This window comes from Homo sapiens, chromosome 10 (assembly GCF_000001405.40).
Source record: "Homo sapiens chromosome 10, GRCh38.p14 Primary Assembly".
NCBI lineage: Eukaryota > Metazoa > Chordata > Mammalia > Primates > Hominidae > Homo > Homo sapiens.
The window spans coordinates 5,925,359-5,948,899 of record NC_000010.11 but is presented as its reverse complement, the minus strand read 5'-3'; the positions used below and the strand labels follow the sequence as shown (position 1 = coordinate 5,948,899).

Below are 23,541 nucleotides of genomic sequence, written 5' to 3'. Positions count from 1 at the left end.
TTTTAAAATGCATTAAAAGAATCACCAAGGATGGCCGGGCAGGGTGGCTCATGCCTGTAATCCCAGTACTTTGGGAGGCCGAGGCGGGTGGATCACCTGAGGTCAGGAAATTGAGACCAGCCTGGCCAACATGGTGAAACCCCATCTCTACTAAAAACACAAAAATTAGCCTGGCGTGGTGGTGAGCGTCTGTAATCCCAGCTATTTGGGAGGCTGAGGCAGGAGAATCACTTGAACTCTGGGGGTGGAGGTTGCAGTGAGCCGAGATCATACCCCTGCACTCCAGCCTGAGAGACGCAGCGAGACTCCAATTCAAAAAAAAAAAAAAAATCACCAAGGAGAAATGTTCCACACAAAGGAGGAGAAAGAATGGGAATGCAGAATTCCACTGGGGCTCCTCCATCCTGTTGGGGTGCCTCATCACCCACTGACACAGACGGGCTGACCTCCCCTCTCCCTGCTCTCCCCACGCGTGGGCACCTGGCCTGGGCGTGGCCTCCAGGGCCTCTCAGCTAGACTACAAAGCTGTTGAATACAGAGAATGAAGAGCACAGAACTCACAGGGCAGTGGCCAGCAGTGGCCTCAGAAGCTCTGACTGGCTGCTGGGCCTCCTGTTCTGGGCTCTCCAGGCGTCTTTAGGTCCTAACCATATTCCAAACCTAAGCCTCCCATTTTCCGGGATTCTATGAGCCCCTCGTATCTTTCCAATACATTTTTTTTTCTTTATAACAGATTCTGTTTTCATTACTTGTCACTGAAAAGTTCCTAGCTGATATGAAATTCGGTACCAGGAGTGGGTATTGCAAATTATGGAGAAGAGGGGAGATAAGGAGTGTCTGCGGCTGGTTATCTGCCTTAGGGACGAGAGAAAAGAGTGAATGTTCTGATGATATGCAGAGACAGGAATGGAGCGGCCCAGGGAATTCGGTAATTAGTTCGCCAGGAGGTGCCTGGGATGTCATGCCTGCTGCAAGCCTGGCTCTCAGAGACTATGTTGCGTCCATCCTGAAATCGTATGGATATGAGAAATCTGAGCCCATAGTGGGTAGCTGCTTTTAATGTCACTGAAAAACTTAGAGAATAAGAAGTTCAAATCTCTAAAGTCTGAATTCAAGCCACAGGCTGAAACCTAAAGACTGCCTAGAACAACGCGGAATTTCATTCCTTACAGATGCGAGGCCAGGATATCTGAAAACCCATCTTAAGAGTCTGAGCCTTTGGCTGGGCGCCGTGGCTCATGCCTGTAATCCAAACACTTTGGGAGGCCGAGGCAGGTGGATCGCTTGAGTCCAGGAGTTCAAGACCAGCCCAAACAACATGGCGAAACCCCTGTCTCTACAAAAAATACAAAAATTAGCCAGTTGTGGTGGCATGTGCCTGTAGTCCCAGCTACTCAAGAGGCTGAGGTGGGAGAACTGCTTGAGCCCAGGAGGTAGCAGTGAGCCGAGATCATGCCACAGCACTCCAGCCTGGATGACAGAGGAGACACAGTCTCCAAAAAAAAACAACAGTCTAAGCCGTCAAGTTGTTGGAAGAACATTAGCTGAATCCATGGCCCCAGCAGGTTTCCCAGCTGAAGGGAGAGCACTGATTGGAGAAGGGCGAGGTTCCTGTACTGGATTAAAAATGTAGGGGGACATTTGGAGGACTCACAGGATCCCCCACCCTCCCTTGTCCTCAGAAGCAGCCCTCTGTTCTGCCTGACAATGCTGCAACATTGCCTCCTGCTCGAGGGGGGCATCTTGCAAAAGGAAGTCTGTTCTGCTGACAATTTCCTCCCCCTGTCCCATTCTGCATGGGGAGAAAACTTTGCTGAGAATCCCAATCAGACCCTCAGGATCCCAGGAATCAGCCTGTTCCGTGGAAACAAGAGCTCCCCAAGGCTGGGCCGGGCCCTGCTGCAAGCACCTCCACCCCCACGTCCCACCTGCGGCCTCCTCACAGGCCAAGCCCGTAGCCAATGCCCAATGCCCCTGTCCTTCCTTCACAGTCTCCTACATCCAACTCACCTTCCAGAACCAGATCAAGTTTACCTTCTCCAGGAGCCTCTGTTGTTTCAGTTTTGGAGGGTTTTTTTTTTTGAGACAGAGTCTCGCTCTGTCGCTCAGGCTGGAGTGCAGTGGCACGATCTCCACTCACTGCAACCTCCGCCTCCCGAGTTCAAGCGATTCTCCTGCCTCAGCTTCCTGAGTAGCTGGGACTACAGGTGCGTGCCACCATGCCCAGCTAATTTTTATATTTTTGATAGAGACAGGGTTTCGCCATGTTGTCCAGGCTGATCTGGAACTCCTGATCTCAAGTGATCCACCCGCCTTGGCCTCCCATAGTGCTGGGACTACAGGCGTGAGCCACCATGCCCAGCCCCGGAGCCTTGGCTAATGACTCAGTTGTACAAAATCATTTGCCTCTGAGCCTTCATAACACTTATTATCGGTGCTATTCATGTGGCATCTGCAAAATACTATCTTTGTGCAGTGGAAAGAAGATAGAACTTAAAAGCCTGAGTGTCGAGCATCCATTCTACCCTTTGCTGAGCATCCATTCTACCCTTTGCTGGCCCTGTCACTTGGAGACACTACACACACGGACATTGCCTCATCTTTGTAGTGGGGATGACGGCACATGCACTCCCTTCCCAGAGGCGTGAGGGTCACAGGAGACCCTGGCGTCTGTCTCTCCCCTCGCTAGCCACTAGAGATCCTGACAGTTAAGCCTGGTACTAATCCTCAAGAAGTTTACAGCCTGGTCAAAAAGAGAAGCATACCGGAACAAATATGAAACAAAACCTTACACCACAAGCACACACACTAATGGGACACGAGCCCAGTAAAGGCAGAAATGGCTCCAAGGCCTGGAAGCTTGAGGAATGCAGGATGTGAGTTGGAAGGATGGGTGGAATTTAAATAAACGGGCAGGGAGCATTCTAAATGGTGGGGGGGGGCGGTGGAGGCAAAAACCCAAACAGGAAATTGAGCAACACGTTCAGGAAAGACAGAGCATGGCTGCTGGGCAGCCAGGTCAACCGGACGGCAAGGCAGGGGTTGGCCGGGGAAGCACTGCGCCGCCCCTGCATGCCCTGCATCCTCGGGTCCTGGGAGGGCTGCTCAGTAACTGGAAGGAAAATGAAACTGAAAAAGAGCAAGGGTCCCGTAGGATTGAACACAGTTGGTGAAACTTGGGCCGTCTGCCTCAAGTCCCCGCTTGGCAAAACCACTCCCTCCTGGTGGACGCCCTCACCATGAAGGTTAGTGCTTCTCTTTCTGAAGCTGTGTCTTCATTCCTCTGGGCAGAGAGCCAACAGTCCTAGTTACAGAAGTGTATAACTGGGTGCCATGGCTCACCTAGGGTCCCAGCTACTCAGGAATCTGAGGTGGGAGGATCGCTTGAGCCCAGGAGCATGAGGCTGCAGTGAGCGGTGATCGCGTCACTGCGCTCCAGCCTGGGCGACAGAGTGGGACTCTTGTCTCCAAAATAATTCAAAAATGGGGTGTAATCTTCAAAATCTCCTTGGAGTTAATGCCACCCAGAGGGTACTCAAATTGCTGTCAGTGTCCCGGGGCTGCAGTGGCTGCAGGTGTTTTCCAAGTGTTCTGGGAAGCCCTGGTGGCTGCAGAGGCACCTGAGGGGCCACCACAGGCGGGAGCGGAGAAGGAACTCTGGGTGCCCATCCCCCTCCTGAGTGACCACAGCGGCTGCATTTGTTAACTGGAAGTAAAATTAAGCCTAAAGAATTCCATGGCTAAGAACATCTGAAAGCCTTCCATGCTATTAAATATTTATTTTATTGTTCATCCTGGACTCCATAGGCAGATGCTTTAAAAAAACAAACAAACTGATCTTTTGGAAGAGTTCTAACTCCAACTCTTCACACAGTGGTAGTGGAAATACTATGGGTTTGGGATTGAACTTGAGTTTTCATCCAAGCTCTGCTCTGTGATACTGAGCACAGTGGGCCCAGCCCCGTGACTCTTTAGAGCCTGTTTCTTCATCTGCAAATGGCGGCTGTCATCTGCCTCCCAGGTTTGCTGTGAGGACTGAAGGAATTCACATACACAAAGGCCTGATAGCGTCTACCTGCAGGAGGCTCCTAATAAACGTTGAGTTCACTTCCTTAATGAGGTATATTTACTTACATGGTAATCAGCACCTGCCCCTTCCTTCGCAAATACATTCCCACTTTTTTAGGATTTATTATTTCACCCAGCCGTGTGCATCATGGAAAGCTGACCTCATCCCAAGCTCCAGGAAATAAAACCCTGATGATTTGAAGCCATTCTTCCTTACTATGATTGGCTTAGGAGTGGGCAGGTAGCCCAGTTCTGACCAACAATATGTGAGTCAGCTGGAGAAGCCTGTGGGAAAGGCTTTCTTGCGCCTCTTCCCAGACAAAACCAGGTCCAGCTGCTTGTTCTCATGGTCCAATAACAAGCTGCAGACAGAGTGGGGAAGAAGGGAGTTTATTTCTGGTTACAGGGAGAAGGTCAGAGTAACTCACCAGACTAATTTAAAATTATAAGTTTTTTTTCAGTGCTTATACACATTTAAACCATATGCCTATGTGCAGGAGTACACCTCCAAGCTGAAGTATATTCCTCTGTTTAATCTTTCACTAGGGTCTGGGGTCTGGAAAATTACTTCAGAGCCTTGAAACAATTACTTCATTTTTTTTCTTTCTTATTTTAGAGGGAGGGTCTCACTATGTTGCCCAGGCTGGTCTTGAACTCCTGGGCTCAAGCGACCCTCCTCCCTCAGCCTCCCAAAGTGCTGGGATTGCGGGCGTGAGCCGCTGCTCCTGGCCCAATTACTTAATTTAAAGTGGATCATGGTACAAGGTCCACAAGAACGCCTCCATTATTTTAATTAAACTCTAAGGTCTGGGAGAAAGCCCAGGTGGGGTCTTAATCGACTTGTTTTTACACTCTAGCCTTTGTATTAAGGCACCAGTTTCTCCAATTTTCCTCGTTTAATTTATATATTCCTCAGAGTTATAGTAAGGTGTTGGTGAGGCTGGCTGCTCTGGTTGCTAAGAGAGACCCGGCCTGCCACACTCCTAAGAGACACAGAAGACCAGCCTACCCTTCCCTTGCCTCCCGTGACACTGCCCTGCAGGTGGCTGGCCAAGAGAAGCCTGCCCGGCGACGCTGAGGCACCGAACATGAGCAGGGGAGGAAGGAATGCCTGGGAGCAGCTGAGCCGAGCCCCTGCCACCAGCCTCCTCCGCACGCCCGTGGAATCAGCACTTTCTGCTTCCCGCCCCTGAGAGCCTTGCTCTGGGGCCACTCACAGCCAATTAAGTGGGGATGTTGTAAGAGACTCTAAAATACGTGGAGCTGGCTGAGGACGCGGGACCGACCCCATTATGTGTGTGTGAGGCTGATTAAAGTGTTACCTGTCACCAGGTGTCGCCAATTCTTGGTGAAGCTCTCTCCATGTGACCTCCATGCTACTTATTTTTTATTTTATTGTTCATCCTGGACTCCAAAGGCTGATGCTATTTTTTTTTTTAATGTGATCTTTTGGAAGAGTTCTAACTGCAACTCTTCACATAGTGGTAGTAGAATATACCATGGGTATTAAAAACTAAAGCATTTCTTAATCTGTGGGGTCCAGATTAGGAAGACATGTATTAGGAAAATGATTACTTTAAAAAAAATAAAAAATTCAGGCCAGGCATAGTGGCTCACGCCTGTAATCCCAGCACTTTGGGAGGCTGAGGCAGGTGGATCACCTGAGGTCAGGAGTTCAAGACCAGCCTGGCCGACATGGTGAAACCCCGTCTCTACCAAAAATACAAAAATTAGCTGGTTGTGGTCACATATGCTTGTAATTCCAGCTACTTGGGAGGCTGAGACAGGAGAATCGCTTGAACCCGGGAGGCAGAGGTTGCAGTGAGCGGAGATCTCACCACTGCACTCCAGGCTGGGTGACAGAGTGAGGCTCTGTCTCAAAAAAAAAAAAAAAAAAGAAAAGAAAAAAAAATCAGAACCACTGAATTGTACATTTAAAAAAGGAAGAAAAGAAAAATCCAGGATGTCAGCACTGTGCTGGCCGCTTCCTGGGGCCCTCAGTGAGTTCCTTTAAAAGACAGGCTTAGGGTGACAGAGGCCAGCCTGGAAATGGACAGGAAACGCCAGCCTTTCCGCTGCGGTCCAACTTGGGCTGACGCCCTCATCGCAACAGGAGAGCCCTGCAGGGTTGAGGCAGGAGGGTGACCGGCGTTAGTCTTCATTGTAAGATTGCAGGTCCCTCTACATGGGAGCGAGTTGGGCCAGGGCAGAGGCACAGAGCAACATAGACTACAACTGGTCCAGGAGGCAGAACGGTGGAGGGTCGCGGGCGGGTGGGTGGTGCACCCTGGAGGCCGCGTGGAGCTTCCCAGTGAACTGGCATGAAGAAAAGTATCACAGCCCGATGGTGGTGCTGTTTCTGGAGGTGGGGAAGGGTGCGTGGAGGAGCCAGCCAGGCTCGGAAGGAAATCAGGGGCTGCATGTGGGACATGGCAGGGCTGAGATGTCACGAAGACAGCAAATGGAGTGATCGACTGGCGACCTTGGCGTTTGAGTGGGAAGCCCCCCTCCCTCCACCTAACCTACCTCTCAGCCCACGCCACTAGGGATAAAACACACACAGGTCCCCAGTGAGGAGGATCGCAGGGGACGGCACCTCCTGGGCCCTCATGGAGAACCTGTCCCTTAAGTAGGCCAGGCAGAGGGAGAGCCCCTGCCGGCTAAGGGAGCCCTGCCCCCCACACCAGCCCAGCTGTGCAGAGGTGCCTTGGCCAGGGGCGTGCGTGTAGCACTGTCTTCATGTCTGGGCAAGGAGCTGGAGGAACCCTGCCTGCCTCGGTTCAGACGTCTCTACCGCACCCACTCACTGCAAATGTAGAGTGATCAGCTTCCAGGCTCTCGGTGTACCCCACATTGCTAAAGCCAGGGGTTCAGGGTGACTAGGAAGGACTGAAGGGCAAGGATCAGACTTGAAAAACATGTTAAATTGCTAATAGTCTGATTCTAGGGGTGTCAAAGTCCCTTTGTGATACAGTGAGTTGCTCCCAGACACAGACCAAATGCCACTACAGGACGGAAGCTGGGCAGGCAGCGTGACAGTGACCAGCTTCCCAGGCAGGAAGGTCCCACGGGGGTGCTGCACTGCCTTAAGTTTATTAAGCTGTGTCTGAGTCCACCATGCGACGTCTCTGCCCTCATGCCTGGGCTGCTAAAGGAAAAATACCAGCTAAAAGGATGGTGTTTGATGTCAACTGGGAGGGTGCTGCCCGGCACACCTGTGTTTTCCGTCACCTTCCACTCCATTCCCTTCTATGTCCATCCCAAACGCTAAACCCAGCACTTTGGGAGACTGAGGCAGGTGGACAGCTTGAGCCCAGGAGTTTCAGACCAGCCTGGGCAACAGAGCGACACCTCATCTCTACAAAAAATAAGCAAAAATTAGCCGGGCATGGTGGCATGCACCTGTAGTCCCAGCTACTTGAGGGGCTGAGGTGGGAGGGTCACCTGGGCCTGGAGGTCAAGGCTACAGTGAACTGTCACTGCACCACTGCACTCCAGCCTGAGTGACAGAGTAAGACCCTGTCTCAAAAAAACCAGAAAATTATTGGGTGAGAGCAACCTAAACTTCCTCCCTAACCACTTACAACGTACCCCTTTCTCCTTCATCTCTCCCGTCCCAATCCCTCTCATCTGGCTTCCATCTCTCCTCTCTGAATTTGCTTCCTCTCAACACATAACCCTGCACAAACCTCTCTCGTTTTAAAAGCAAAAACCCCTCCCTAAGGCCACGTCATCCCCTATCCACTTCTTGCCTCTTGCCAGCCTTGCTTTCTGAGAACTAGTCTACGTGGTGTCCGTATCTTCACCTCCCACTGGTATTTTATGGTTCTATCATACAGACACATAGTTTAGAGCCAACAGTTATGTAAGACACCTACCAAAAAGCTCCTCCACCTGCCCGTTCCCCCTCCCAAAAGGAAACTTTTAGAAATCTTTCTGCTGAGTGTCTCGGTGTGTGTTATGCATCTCCAAGATATCTCTAAATGATGGGCTCACATGGGCTTCTGCTTCCATGTTTGAGTTTCAGGCACTGTGACTGACTTCCTGCCGCAGAGGCTAAGATTCGGCTCGTTCACTCCACATGTGCACACAGCTCCTACCTGCAGAACACGCCCACCCTTATGAAGGCCATGAAAGCAGGTACACTCCACTGAGCTGGTGGTGGGGGGGGTCAATTACAGTTCTCTCCTACACAACCTGTCGCCTTCCAGAGGACTAATCATTGCCTTTTTCCCCCCAGGCTACGTCCTGCGCTCTGTCACCCAGGCTGTGGTGGTCAGTGGTGCAATCATGGCTCACAGCAGCCTCAACCTCCCAGGCTCAAGCCATCCTCCTGCCCCAGCCTCCCAAGTAGCTGGGAACAAGGCATGCGCCACCACACCTAATTTTTTATACTTTTTGTAGAGATGGGGTCTGCCTATGTGGCCCAGGTTGGTCTTGAACTCCTGGGCTCAAACAATCCTCCCACCTCAGCTTCCCAAAGTGCTGTGATCACAGGTGTGAGCCACCACGCCCGGCCAATGTGGGCCTATTTTCACCCATTGTCCTGGGCATTTAATGAGTCATTTCAATCCAGAAACCCTTACCATCAGTTTCAGGTAATTTTCATAATTAAAAAAAATGTTTCGGCCAGGTGCGGTGGCTCACGCCTGTAATCCCAGCACTTTGGGAGGCCGAGGTGGGCAGATCACGAGGTCAGAAAATCGAGACCATCCTGGCCAACACAGTGAAACCCCATCTCTACTAAAAATACAAAAAATTAGCCGGGCATGGTGGCATGTGCCTGTAGTCCCAGCTACTCAAGAGGCTGAGGCATGAGAATCGCTTGAACCCAGGAGGTGGAGGTTGCAGTGAGCCGAGATCAAGTCACTGCACTCCAGCCTGGGCAGCAGAGAGAGACTCCGTCTGAAAAAAAATTAAATTTAAAAATTCCTTAACTCTGTTGTCCATTTTCTCTTCCTGCAATTCCCATTCACAGATGCTCAACTTCTTAAATTGGTTCCCTAGTTTTTTTTTTCTTTTTTTTTTTTTTTTGAGACAGGCTCTCGCTGTGTCACCCAGGCTGGAGTGTGGTGGCACAATCTCAGCTCACTGCAACCTCCACCTCCCGGGCTCAAGCCATTCTCCAGCCTCAGCCTCCTGAGTAGCTGGGATCACAATCGTGCACCACCACACCCAGGTCATTTTTTGTAGATGGGTTTTGCCATGTTGGCCAGGCTGGTCTTGAAGTCCTGAGCTCAAAGCGATCCACCTGACTCAGCCTTCCAAAGTGCTGGGATTACAGGCATGAGCCACCACGTCCAGCCTCTAACTACTTCTCAATCTTTGTTTTTGCTCTACTTTCTAGATTCTCAACTTATTATTTTAACAGTTCTACTGGGTTTCTTTTCATATTTTTTGCTCCAAAATTTTATTTTATTTTTATTTTTTGAGACGAAGTCTTACTCTGCGTCCCAGGTTCAAGAGATCCTCCTGCCTCAGCCTCCTGAGTAGCTGGGATTACAGGCACATACCACTACACCCGGCTAATTTTTGTATTTTTAGTACAGGGTTTCACCATGTTGGCCCAGGCTGGTCTCGAAATCCTGATCTCAGATGATCCACCCGCCTCAGCCTCCCAAAGTGCTGGGATTACAGGCGTGAGCCAATGCGCCCGGCCCCAAATATTATTTTATACATATCTATCCTGCTACTCTATGGAATGCACTACCTCCTCCATTCTCTGAATGTGTTAAAGATATTTAGATGTTTTCTTCTCCCTGTACAGACAGTTTGCTCCAAGTTGATTCTTTGGTTTTGACCTCTAGCCTTCATCTTAGGGGCCGGGTCATCTTCAGATGTTTGATGATCCTGATGCCTCCAGGATCACTGCTGCCTCCTTCCTGTTGTCTTTGCCCTTAAGGGTTAAAACACACACACACATACACACACACACAACTTTTACTGCCCTTACAGTATGGCTTCAGAAAGAAACCATAAATGAACACATACTTCTTAGCCCTCAAATTTTTCACTCACATTTTAGGCCACAGTGGTCGGCTTCTCACCTAACTGAAACTGATCAGCTAATGTCAACTGACCTTGATAGTGCTGGTTAAACACCTGCCCACCCTTGTTTATTTGGTCTATTTACTGCACTGGATGCTGAAGATCCCCTTTTCCTGAACTCCCTCCTCTCCGGAGCTCAGTGGTGCTCCATCACGAGGCTCCTCTGGATCAGCTGTCGCTCTTCTTAAACCCTCTTCCTCTCTTCACCCCAAGCCTCGTGTCCGCCGGCTTTGCTTCTCGGCCCTCTGCTCTTCTCATTGTCTAAACTCTCCTGGATTAACTCGGCGAAACCCTTCAAACTGCACCACCACCTACACACCGACAACTCTATAAAGTCCCCAGGTCCAGCCAGGCCCTTTGCTGCAGGACAGATGTGTTCACCCAACAGCCTCCTAGACGGTTCCACTCAACATGCTGAAAACCAAACTGATCACTGCGTTTACACAAACCTGCTATAGCTCCCATTTTCCCTGTCTCAGTGAAGATGACCTCTACCACTGAGTGTCCCTATCATGATCCCAGTACTCCAGAAATCCGACCGATTCTACCTTCTAAACATCAAGAGCAGAAGTTTCCCAACTTAGCATGCATGAGCATCACTTGTCAGGCTTGTTATGTACGAACAGCTGGGCCTCAACCCTGGAGTTTCTGATCCTGTAGGCCTGGTGTGGGGACTGAACATTTTTATTTCTAACAAGTTCCCAGGTGATGTTGCCGCTGCTTGCTGGAACCACACTTTGAGAACCACTGATCTTCGCATCCGTTCCCTCCTCACCAGGCCCCACAGGCGCTGTGGTCCAGCCCATCTGGGGTCATTTCTTGCTGAGATTATGATCCTGTTAGCCTTGTAATTTATCTGACCTCCTTAAAACATTATTGTTATTTGAGACAGTGTCCCGCTGTCACCCAGGCTGGAGTACAGTGAGCTGTGAGGTGACCACGGCTCACAGCCTCAACCTTGGGCTCCAGCAGTCCTCCTGCCTTGGCTGGATTCAGTGCTGGGGTTACAGGTGTGAGCCACTGCTCCCGGCCAAAGTCTCATTTTTGATGCCTCAGTTCCCACCCAAGACATCACGTCTCATACTCTGCTTCCTGTGTCTTGTGAACAGTGACAGTGCTGTAGGAAAGAGTAAGCTGGAAAAAGAGAAGGTTCAGAACGACAGTGCTGACGCAGACATCACACAGCGGTATGCCAGTGCTATGGTGCCTGTTTAATTGAAATCTTGTAATAAAAGTTTAAATACATAAATTTTTTTTTTTTTTTTTATCAAAAGAACATCCCCCACTTCCCTGACCAGATACATCCAGAGGGGAGGCAAGTGGAGACTGGCTGTCTGTAGGGAGTGGAGAAATGGCAGGTCCAGCTTGGGCTGGTGTCCTCTTCCTCAGAAAGTGCTGTGGGTGAACCCAGAGTCTCAGGGAGCAGAAGCCCCCCTCGCTGGCTTTCTTCACGCGGGGTCCTCGGCAAGCTGCTCTGCACTGCGGAGAACGTGCGCCTTGTCCTCAGAAGACGAGGAAGAGCAGGGCCTCATGCCGGGGCAGTACGATGTTCTCCACAGTGCGCTCCATGGCGCGCACCTGCTCCGGGGAGGCTGTCAGGAACGCCAGGGGCCCGATGCGCTGCTCCGCACAGGAGTGGCAGAGGTAGCCCCCCTTGTTTTCCTTCCTGTTGCTCTGTGGTGATGGACAAGAGAGAGAGCTAAGGGGAACAACCAAAGAACATGGATTTTCCAGCAAAAAGCATGGAGTTATCATCACAGCTGCCCAGGGACAACGCATTTGGATTCTGATGTTTTCAGAGGGGTGCACATCCTCAGAGTAACACCTCCCACAGCACCACCAACTAGGTGGCCTCAACACCCCCAAATTCCCTGAGCTCAGAAACAGTCATTTATCCAGTCAAGATAAAGAACCAAGAAAAGCTGCGCTGGGACCCCAGGGAACAGCTCTCTCTCTAAGCGTGTATCACAACCCAGCCTCCCAGACCTGCGGCTTCAGCACAGCCAGGCAGCATCACGTGCCCTGACCTCTGACCCTGGGACAGACCACACACCTCTTGTGCCTCTCATATGAAAAGCCCCTAATAAAGGATCACACAGCTCTCTCTTATCTCCTCACCTACAACCCAGATAAGCACAGAGCTCACAAGCAAAAAATGCAAATGGCTGAATTAAGTTCCACAGACAGCAGACGTACATAGGTGATGGGCAGCTTCTTCATGGTAAGGACGGTGTCAACAGGGATGGCATTGTTGCACTGTCCCACGCAGCAGCGCACCACGCCTGTTTTTAAGACGTTGCTTGTCAGCTCTGCTTGCAAGAAGTACTCCTGAGAAAGAAAGAGCGAGAAAGAGAGTCATGGCGACACCTCCGTTAGGGTCTACTGGAAACACTGATAGCGGCGGCTCTGTGAGAACCCTTTAGATGCACTGTAAGTCCCAGAGAGAAAAACCCCGCCTAACCCGTTCTCCCTTACTTCCTCTAACTTTTCCCTGCCTCCAAAGCTATCGACAGTCCAACTGACAGTCCAATTGCTTTTTAAATATATATATATTTAACAGATAAACATGCAAAACTATTGCCTGTAATGACATTTCCAGAATATTTCTGGATTTTATTTTATGCTAAGGTATCCCCAGCTCAATCTTCAGAAAACTATTGTGTATTCACATTATAAGCCAGGCAGGCAACACAGAGGACATGAAGAAAACTTGCCCCAAACATCCCTGCGTATTTCCACCGTCCCGTGCTGCTGGCTGTGCTAGTGAGCAAATGACAGCCTCGCTAAGCCTGTGTCTTTATCCATAAATGCAGATGGCACGGTGCCTGCTTCAGGTGGCTGCTGAGGAGAAGAAACCCTTCAATGCATGCAAAGCACTCACGCCTGGCACGCAGGGAGCACCCAGAGGAAGCACTAGTGACCTCCCAGGCTGGAAACACCACAAGGACAGGGCACTGTCAGCTTCGCTGCTGCCCTGTGGGGCTCCACATCACAGACTGATATGCTAGCAGGACCGCACACATCTGCTGCCCAGGAAAGGACGGTTTCGTATTTTCTGGATTATGACCAGCTATTGATCTACTTATTCTACAATCTGTAACCTACGTTTTGATTTATTTGGTCTTTTCTCTTAGACGGCCTGCCTACCAGCTATGAAAAAGAACAGAAAACCACCAGGCAAACACTCCAGTTATGGCCAACAAGTACTAACAGCTGACGAGGTGAAATCCTGTCTGAAGTCACAGATTTTGCTGAAGTCCCTTGGACTGTCATCTCAATTTCCTTCCCGAGAGACAGCCAAGACCATGAACCTGGCGAGGTCCCTCCAACCCACGGTGAAATAGCTTCTCGTTTACACGTGTCCAAGGACACAGGTCTCCTTTTATAGATGTCTAATTTACATGAATGTTACGCTTCTGGCTTCCTCCTCACCTAGGTTTTCTAAAATGCTGTAGAGGACTCAGTCACAGCGCTCTCTTGTATTTCATTTACCCATTCCCTTGCTGTGGTTACTCGGTTGTTTCCAAACTATTTCCAACAATGCAGCAATGAACATCCTGTACCTGACTCCCTGTCCACTCCAGAAGTTTCTCCAGGGCTAGGCTCTCAAGCCGTTTTTGACGCAGTTACCATTATAATGCTATACATACGCACATATGTAAGAAACACACATGGAAGAAAAGTTTCACAAAACATGACTTAACCTAACATGCAGTGTTCTCTGATTTCTTTAGATTTTATGCCATTTAACTCTTTTTAAGCCTCTCATAACCCACCAGATTAACTGTTTTTATTTATATAAATTTAAGGGGTGGGGGTCACACCTGTAGTCCCAGCACTTTGGGAGACTGAAGTGGGAGGATCACTTGAGCCCAGGAGTTCGAGACCAGCCTGGGCAACATGGCGAAACCCTGTCTCTACCAAAAATACAAAAATTAGCTAGGCATAGTGGTGCACACCTGTAGTCTCAGCTACTCGGGAGGCTGAGGTTGCAGTGAGTTGAGATCGTGCCACTGCACTCCAGCCTGGGCAACAAAGCAAGACCCTGTATCTAAACAAATAAACAAAAAGAATCTAAGATTCTGTGAGACCAAGAAGCTGTCTTTGGCCAGACATAGTGGCTCAAGCCTGTAATCTCAGCAATTTGGGAGGCCAAGGCAAACGGATCACTTGAGGTCAGGAGTTTGAGACCAGCCCAGTCAATATGGGTGAAACCCCATCTCTACTAAAAATACAAAAATTAGCCAGGCATGGTAGCACACGCCTGTAATCCCAGCTACTCTGAGGCTGAGGCCTGAGAATCGCTTGAGCCCGGGAGGTGGAGGTTGCGGTGAGCCGAGCAAGATGGCACCACTGCACTCCAGCCTGGGCTACAGAGAGAGACTCCATCTCAAAAAAAAAAAAAAACAAAAAAAAAAACCTGTCTTTGAAACATAACTTCATGTCACTTAACACCTCAACAATGTAATAATTTCCTTCACTTTCCCAAAACTTAAAGAAACAAATGAACAAAATGGCTTCTGGTGATTCTATTAGCTATATTTTCTAAGGGGGAGGGGTCAAAGAAAAAGAAGGTTGCCCTACTCTTGGGAGATAAAGGGGCTTATCGTTCTAGGCAGCGCAGGAAGCAATGGCTCGCTTTTTATCTCCAAAACACCCCCGTCCGTGGCTCCACTATTTTTAACACGCTTTCCTAGCCTCTGAATTACTGCCCAACTCGGGATCTTCATTATCCCCATGGCCTTCCCTCCTGGGCAGAGACTGGACTCGACACTTCTGAAACAGGATATCCCCAAATTTATTCACAGGCTGTGATCAACAACAACAAAAAAGGCTGGACATGGTGGCTCACGCCTATAATCCCAACACTTTGGGAGGCCGAGGCGAGTGGATCACTTCAAGTCAGGAGTTTGAGACCAGCCTGGCCAACATGGTGAAACCTCGTCTTTAACAAAAAAAAAATACCAAAAAAAATTAGCCAGGTATGGTGGTGTACACCTGTACTACCAGCTACTTGAGAGGCTGACACAGGAGAACAGCTTGAACCCAGGAGGCCGAGGTTGCGGTGAGCCAAGATCACACCACTGCCCTCCAGCCTGGGCGACAGAGTGAGACTCTGTTTTTTAAAAAAAAAAAAAAAACAGCAGAGTGCCTCCACTTCTAACAAGGTCTTACAGCCTTAAAAAATCTGTTCCCACAAATAGGCAGTTTTTCTGGGACTTCCTCGCAGGACCCCTGAGGGCAGACAGCCCACCCCAGTCTCAGTAATGGGGAAGTATTTCTCTAGATTCTGTATTCTTTTCTTCTATGGGGAAAACAAAATGCATGCAGCAACCAACTGACAACCTTCCAATCAGCTTTAAAAAGTCTACTTCACTTTTTTGTTTGTTTGTTTTGAGACAGAGTCTCACTTTGTTGCCCACACTGGAGTGCAGTGGCACGATTTCAGCCTACTGCAACCTCTGCCTCCCGGATTCAAGTGATTCTCCTGCCTCAGCCTCCTGAGTAGCTGGGATTACAGGCATACGCCACTACACCCAGCTAATTTTTGTATTTTTAGTAGAGACAGGGTTTCACCATGTTAGCCAGGCTGGTCTTGAACTCCTGACATCAAGTGATCCGCCCTCCTAGGCCTCCCAAAGTACTGGGATTACAGGTGTGAGCTACTGCGCCGGGCCTATTTCACTCTTATGCATACAACTGGTGGGACTCTAAAGTGATAACAATCTCCATGAAAAAATTGGCAACATCTAGAAAAGTCACACTTGGCCAGGTGCAGTGGCTCATGCCTGTAATCCTAGCACTTTGGGAGGCTAAGGCAGGGCAGATCACTTGAGCTCATGAGTTTGAGACCAGCCTGGGAAACAGACAAAACCCCGTCTCTACAAAAAATACAGAATTAGCCAGGTGTGGTGGCACACACCTGTAGTCCCAGCTGCTCGGGAGGCTGAGGTGGGAGGATGGCTTGAGCCTGGGAGGCGGAGGTTGCAGTGGGCCAAGATTGTGCCGCCATATTCCAGCCTGGGTGACAGAGCCAGGCCTTGTCTCAAAAACAAAACAAAACAAAACAACAGAAAAGTCACACTTGCATTTATCTTTACCCAGCAATTCCACTTCTAGAAATGCATGCTGAAGATGCACTGGCAAAAACAGAAATGACCTGTGCACAAGATTGTGCAATGCAGCATTATTAATGAAAGCAAAAGGCTGGAAGTGACCACGTCCATGAGCGAGAACGGCATAAATCACAGTGCGTCAACACAGAACACTATGCAGCTGACCAAGAGGCGAGAGAGCTCTGTGAGCTGATAAAGAGGGATTTCCTAATTTGGGTAGGACAACAAATAAAAGAATAAAAGGGCAAAAAATAAAAGAGTAAAAAATAAATAAAAGAGTGATTCCCATGGCTTCTAAGTGACAAAGCAAAGTACACAACAGTGTATCTGAAATGCTACCTTCTGTGGAAAAGGAGAATATGAAAATACCTACGAATTTGCTAATACTTGCATAAAGAAATACTGAAGGATTAATCGCTAATTGTTTAAAATAACTACCAATGGTGGAGGCAGAGAACAGTCTGAAGTGAACAGGGAGGTAATGAGACTTCTCTTATCACAAAGTTTTGATCTTTTCTTTTGAGACAGGGTCTCACTCTGTCACCCAGGCTGGAGTGCAGTGGCACAATCTCAGCTCACTGCAATCTCCGCCTCCTGGGTTCACGCGATTCTCCCACCTCAGCCTCCTAAGTAGCTGGGGCTACAGGTATGCACCACCATGACTAGCTAATTTTTCTGTATTTTTTGGTAGAGACAGGGTTTTGCCATGTTGGCCAGGCTGATCTCTAACTCCTGACTTAAAGTGACCTGTCTGCCTCAGCCCCGCAAAGTGCTGGGATTACAGGGGTGAGCCACTGTGCCCAGGCGCAAGGTTTTGACTTTGAAAACATTAACAGGCCTTACACATCAAGAAAGATCATTAAATCAAAAAGAAGCAAAGCAACCCCTGTAGGTATTATGAATAAACTACATGTCTAACTGCAAATTAAGTTGGTAATAAAACCACAAAAGCAAAAAGGACTTACTTTAAGTGACTTCAGAACATGATATTTTGACTAATAAATACATCATTCATGGAGAAATGGAGCTGTTAGGAAATCTTCAAGTCCAGTCAGTATTCCATTAATACTGGCATTATTTTGAATATTATTTTTAAATACATAGAATAGTATCAATAAGTAATAAATACTATTAGGAACCAAGATTTCAGTGTATGAGAAAAGATTCAAGTGTGAGAAAAGAAGTAAAATTCCTTTCGTGTTAAATGTGAATTAGATTATGGAACACAATTTATGATGGCTGAACGTGTGAAGGGCCAAAGCCTCTGACAATGCAGATACGGTGCAGCTTTTGAAACCCAGGAGAATGAAGAGAACATGTGTAAACAGTATCATTTTTCAGCACTTACTGATGGTGCTGCATACCTGGTTAAAAAGAAAAAAGAAAAAGGTGCCGTTGTGCAACAAAGCAAGGTAATGCGTATCTGCTGAGATGGCAGTTACCCTCAGAAAGGAGGGAGGGTGCTAGGATGGCCAGGGGCCACCAGGACAGCTCCGTGATGGCTGGCAGATCCCATCTTCTAATCTGGTGGATGCTCACAACATCATCATTTTAAACTGCTATATGCTGTTTTATATACTTGTGTTATATTTAACAACAAAATGTTGAAATTTGCCTGGTGTCACACCTATAATCCCAGAACTTTGGGAGGCTGAGGTAGGAGGATCACTTAAGCCCAGGAGTTCAAGACCAGCCTGGGCAACATAGTGAGTGAGACCCTGTCTGTACAAAAAAACAAAACAAAAAAAAAACCAGCCAGGTGTGATGGTGCATGCGTGTTCCCAGCTACTTGGGAGGCTGAGGTGGGAGGACTGTGCCTAAGCCCAGGAGGTTGATGCTGCAGTAAGCCATGATCGTGCCACTGCACTAAAGCCTAGGCAACAGAGTGAGAGCCTGTCTCTTTGAAACAAATAAAGTTTAAAAACTGGGATTGGGATTATCAGTATGAACCACTGTTTTTTTTTCTTTCTTTTCAAAAATACACATTTCCTAGCTGTGCCTCTTCAAAAGATGAGCAATCAGCATCACTAACGGGGAAAAACTAACCTACTCCTAAGGAGGCTGTGAGCCTCCTCATGTGACGAGGCAAAGCACGAAGCCCTCTCCGGCCTCCCATGGGGCACGCCTGCCAAGACTCAGGCTTGAATCGAATCAAGCCTCTACGGCTAACTTCCAGTTACTGGAAAGCCAGGACAGGTAATGATGGCAGAACAAGTTACACAACCACACCGGGAAGCAAACCAAGAATGGGGACGCTCTGTAGGACGAATGACCCAGTTTATGCAATGAGACAAGAGCATGGGAAAAGCAGGGAGGGAGTCCCGTACAGCTCTCTATTTAACTTAAGAGACAAGCAACCAAATGTTGGTTTGGACTCTGACTTGAACAAATCAACTGTAAAAAGGCATTTCTGAGACAATCATAAAAGTATAATTATGGATCGGGTAGTAGAGGCCACATATGATAACATTTATAAAATACGAAAATGGCATGGTAGTTATGGGGAAAAAAGTACATATTTTTTGGAGATGTGTACATATAGGTATGATTTGTATATGAATGTTCAGTGTATTGCTTTCTTTACTTTTTAATGTCTCAAAATTTTCATAAGCAAAAACAAAAAGTCCTGTGTAGCCCATGTTGTGAGATGATATCACTGCTCTGTAATACCCTGCACAGTTCTACCAATTGACAATGTGGTTTTGTGACAGGCCTAACCACTTCTGTAACACGACTTCCATGAGAAAACCATACTGGAGGGTCTAAAAAAGTACTTATAAACCAAAGTTTATACAAAAATGTTTGTATAGGTAGAGACTATTTGTACATAATGATTTATTCTGCTTAACTCCTGGGGGTACTGGTTTAGAGATTTTTTAAAGTCACACTTTTCTTTAAACCAGAGGTCAGCAAACTACACGTGGGCCACATCCAGACAATGGCCGTTTTTGTGAATTAATTTTACTGGAACACAGCCATACTTGTTCACTAATGTACTGTCAACAGGGGCTCTCGCACTACAGCAGTGGGGCTGGGTAGCTGCAACAGAGATCATGTGACTTGCAGAGTCCGAAATCTTTACTGCCTGGCCCTTTACAGAAAAAGTCTACAGACGATCCATGTGCTTTAGTGGCTAAAGATGCAACGAAAGAAAAAGGGCTTCAGTTCTAAGCTCTGACGCTTAAGCTGTTGCACTCGGTGAAGCCCAGGTGAAAAGCTGTTCTGGGAAAAATGCATCAGATTTCAAATTCTGGAAACATTCCTATGGCCAAGTCAGCCTACCTAAGAGAGGCCTGGAGGAAAAATGACAAAGGAGGCATGAAAAATGGGATACACATGCAAGCTAATCAGTTTTATGCAGGAAACCTTTGCCCTGTGATGTGTCATGTAGAGTATTTATTTGCAAAGCTTCTCTCTTTTAAGTTTTGATATTATCTTCCTCAAAATCCTATTCGTTCACTTTCTTGTCCATCTCCTCGCCTGGATGGGCTCTATGAGGGCAGGAATTTCCCTGCCCACTGTTATGCCCCAGTACCCAGAAAGGTGCTTGGCAAGTGTTAGGCCCTCAATAAATATTCCATTATGAGCATCAGGGTTCTACTGCACTTAACACCTCTGAGAGTTGAATATCATTTACTCAAAAGTGGTGACCGCCCACCCTGCCTGCACCCTGTGGTTCAACCCCAGAGCACATAGGGCAGTACGGCGCGGCTCACCCCACGAGAGTAGGCAATATGGCACTGAGAATAAACCATCCTGCTACACACAATCTTTGTTCTGGAGACAGCTAAGCAAGAAAGAGTATTTATATTAACTTTTACACTTAAGTTTTAGGTTTCAGGCTTAAATATCTTGGGTTCAGGGAAAGATGGACTAAGTAGTAACTATTAGCTCAAATTTCTGTTCTAGTTTCTGACAGGGTTGAAAAGACTAAATGGTTTATACTCCAGCTGTTTAGGCAGAAAAAGAGATAAAATAAGTAGAGTGTGAGAAGATGGTTTGTGGGAAGGGTAAAGAGTGAGTGCTGACCAGCTCACTTTTCCACATGTCTGTGACAAAGGCCAGGTGCCTGAACACTTACTCTCCCCGGCAAGGATGTGTTCTTCTGGAAAGTCTACTTTTCAAATGCCATTTCAAAAGGGACTAAAGAGTGAGAGGGAGGAAGGCTGGGTGCACAAAACCTTCCTGGCATTTTTCCCTGTGAACACTGAGAATAGGGGCAAAGCAAGGTGGCTCACACCTGTAACTCCAGCACTTTGGGAGGCTGAGGCAGGAGGATCACTTTAGCCAGGAGTTCGAGACCAGCCTGGGCAATATAGCAAGACACCGTCTCTAGAAAAAAATTAAAAACTAGTCAGGTGTGGTGGCATGCACCTGTAGTCCCAGTTACTCAGGAGGCTGAGGTAAGATAATCGCTTGAGCCTAGGAGTTCCAGGTTACAGTGAGTGATGACTGTGCCACTGCACTCCAGCCTGGGTGACACAGTGAGATCCTGTCTCAAACCAAAAAAAAAAAAAAAGAACTAATTGAGTAAAGGAGAAATTAAGAAATACATGACCACTGCTGGTATCTTTTTTTTTTTTTTTTTTTTTTTTGAGATGGAGTCTCGCTCTGTCACCCAGGTTAGAAGGCAGTGGTGCCATCTTGGCTCACTGCAACCTCCGCCTCCCAGGTTCAAGTGATTTCTCCTGCCTCAGCCTCCCGAGTAGCTGGAATTACAGATGCATGCCACCACACCTGGCTAATTTATGTATTTTTAGTAGAGATGGGTTTTCACCATGTTGGCCAGGCTGGTCTCAAACCCCTGGCCTCAAGTGATCCTCCCACCTCAGCCTCCCAAAGTGCTGGGATTACAGGCATAAGCCACTGTGCCTGGCCCACTGCTGGTATCTTAAACAGAGCTTTTTAAACTGAATTAGGAAATGACTTAGAAAAGAACCACATTTTTGTTTCCTTGGTTAGAACACTTCTTATACTGGTCATCGGCCTTTGCACGTTCAAGCAGCGTTTCTCTTCCAACCCAGGATCTTGATCCGAAGGCCTCTGAAGGCTCCAGGTCAGCCCCTCAAGCAGACTAAATAACATTCAATGGCATCAAGTTAGCTCATGCTGCCCGTTCTGCTTACCCCAGCCAAAGTCAAAATGTTTTCCAATGATTTGGTCATGATGAGACGCTTCTTGGCTCGAGTTACTGCAACATACAGTAAATTCCATTCATCCTCAGAAAATGACTCTAAACAAAGTAAAGGGGAAAAAAATCAACTAAAAAGCCTTAGAAAAGCTTACAAAACCTTATGTCTCATCTAAATGTTTACTAGCCCCCACCCATTCCCCGCAGAAAACCACTCAACATTTGTTGGCTGTAAATACAAAATTTTCCTACAAATGCCAATTCCAAAAACAAACCAAATCCTAGCAGACTAGTGGCACAAAATACCGGGTTTTATTTAGTCCTGCTACGTAAATCCTGGGAATGTGTTAATTGGTTATTTGACACCCGCGATGTGACAGATGGCTGTTTACAGTCATTATGCCAGTTCCCACAACAAGCCCGTGAGACAGACGGGGAAACCGAGGCTTAGACAGGTTAAGTCACTCCCACAAACAAGCCCATGGCTAATCAAGGGCCTGGGAGCAGGACCGAGTCTGCTCGTCTCTTTCCATTTCCTTACACTGTCTCTGGACTGCCAGAGTCCCATCTGGAAAAGCCTGACACTGTCACAGGACAACAAGGAAGACACACAGGTGTGCTATGTGCTGTGTGTCTGTGCTGTTCAACCGCACCTCTCATCTCCCATCTCGATTCACTACACAATGGCAGGAACTCAACAAAGAACAGCAGACCCGAGGCCGTGCAAAAAGCTGCTGAATTGTACACTTTGGATGGGTGGGTTGTGTGGCATGTAAATTACATGTCCCCCAAAAAAATTACATTTGTAAACATGTAAACCAGAAGCAGGGAAAAGGTGGTACTATAGTAAACTTCTCCATGGCTGCCTCCCTTCCTCTCTCCACTCCAAACCATGGTCTATGTTTGCCAATGGTCACAAATACTGTGGTTTCCATTTTCAGCATGCCGATGTGTGCTAGGCCCCAAATTTCCAGTCCACAGTTAACAGACAGCTTTGTTTGTTTGTACAGAAATTTCAAACAGTTTTATTCTAAGATTTAAAACCAAAGCAATAGCACTGATGCTAAAAGTACAAATTTATTACAAAGTAGCCTTGAGTACAAATTTATTTCAAAGCAGACAAGGCCAGGCATGGTGGCTAACACCTATTATCCCAGCACTTTGGGAGGCCAAGGCAGGTAGATCACCTGAAGTCAGGAGTTCGAGACCAGACTGGCCAACATGGCGAAACCCCGTCTCTACTAAAAATACAAAAATTAGCTGGGCGTGGTGGCACGTGCCTGTAGTCCCAGCTACTCTGAGGCAGGAGAATCACTTGAACCCGGGAGGTGGAGATTGCAGTGAGCCGAGATCGTGCCACTGCACTCCAGCCTGGGTGACAGAGTGAGACTCCATCTCAAAATAATAATAATAATAAGAAGAATAAGAATAAGAATAATAATAACAACAACAACAAGAAAGCAGACAAATGTCTGTGGTGGCTGACGCCTGCAATCCCAACACTTTGGGAAGCTGAAGTGGGAGGATCGCTTGAGCCTAAGACTTTGAGACCAGCCTGAGCAACATAGTGAGACCCCTGTCTGTACCAAAAAACACCAGACAAATGATAAAGAATGCTTACTATTTCTCCTTTTGTGGTTTTCTTCTCTCTTTAATAAAATGAAGAGGAATTAATGAAAGGAAAAAAATGCCATGGTAAGCAAGTAAACTATATTTTAAAGCTTTCATGAGGCTGGAGACTCAAAGTCTGATGGCGAAGAACCTGGAGCTGAGGGCAGTGCAGGGCTCACAGGGCCGCCACAAACATCATCATCCCACACGCAGCCCCCAGAGGGGTGCACCTTGAGGAAGTTTTGTTTTTTAAAAAACCACAGTATAAGAATCAAAAGTTTAGGACTAGGAGGTGTTTTGTGGTTTAGTTTTTCCAGAAGTGCCCTACCAGGAGGCCACACCATCCAACAAACAACAAGGCCGTGCAAAGGAAGCATTCCAGTCACCACTCACTACATACAGCAGCACCTGACACTACCCGGCGGCCTCTTACCAACTCTGAAGTGCGGAAGCTGGGGCAGGTTATGCCGGGCACAAGGCACTTTCACAAAATCATCCAAAACATGCACAGTGTCAAACTCCAGGCCTTTGGCTTTGTGCACAGTGCCCAGAATGTACTCTAGGATA

General features: G+C 47.7%; 1 protein-coding gene and 1 long non-coding RNA gene across 27 annotated transcripts in view, besides 1 other annotated feature; one reads left to right on the top strand and one right to left on the bottom strand.

Moving 5' to 3' along the window:
* The first annotated feature begins 2,985 nt into the window (after positions 1–2,985).
* LOC105376384 (uncharacterized) lies at positions 2,986–11,849 on the top strand. 3 transcript variants are annotated; one of them, NR_188180.1, is made up of 2 exons: positions 2,986–3,245; positions 11,391–11,849. It is a non-coding gene; the product is annotated as an uncharacterized LOC105376384 (long non-coding RNA). The 3 variants fall into 3 exon arrangements; NR_188179.1 differs by lacking the exon at positions 11,391–11,849 and adding an exon at positions 5,111–5,410; NR_188178.1 differs by lacking the exon at positions 11,391–11,849 and adding an exon at positions 4,985–5,410.
* Positions 3,227–3,785: an enhancer, noted in NCBI's record as "H3K4me1 hESC enhancer chr10:5987078-5987636 (GRCh37/hg19 assembly coordinates)". NCBI's record gives its function as "activates a minimal SCP1, AML or CMV promoter by ChIP-STARR-seq in primed H9 embryonic stem cells {active_cell/tissue: H9 hESC(primed)}" and the evidence as "EXISTENCE:reporter gene assay evidence [ECO:0000049][PMID:30033119]".
* The window catches only part of FBH1 (F-box DNA helicase 1), a 48,022-nt gene continuing 35,787 nt past the window's right edge, over positions 11,307–23,541 (bottom strand). For all 24 annotated transcript variants that reach the window (NM_001258452.2, NM_001258453.2, XM_047425892.1 and 21 more), the window contains 4 exons: positions 23,408–23,533; positions 21,359–21,465; positions 12,313–12,444; positions 11,307–11,790 (listed from right to left, as the gene is read on the bottom strand). In NM_001258452.2, coding sequence (NP_001245381.1) covers positions 11,620–11,790; positions 12,313–12,444; positions 21,359–21,465; positions 23,408–23,533 — 536 coding nt within the window. In that variant the 3' untranslated portion in view covers positions 11,307–11,619. The remainder of the gene's footprint in view (positions 11,791–12,312; positions 12,445–21,358; positions 21,466–23,407; positions 23,534–23,541) is intronic.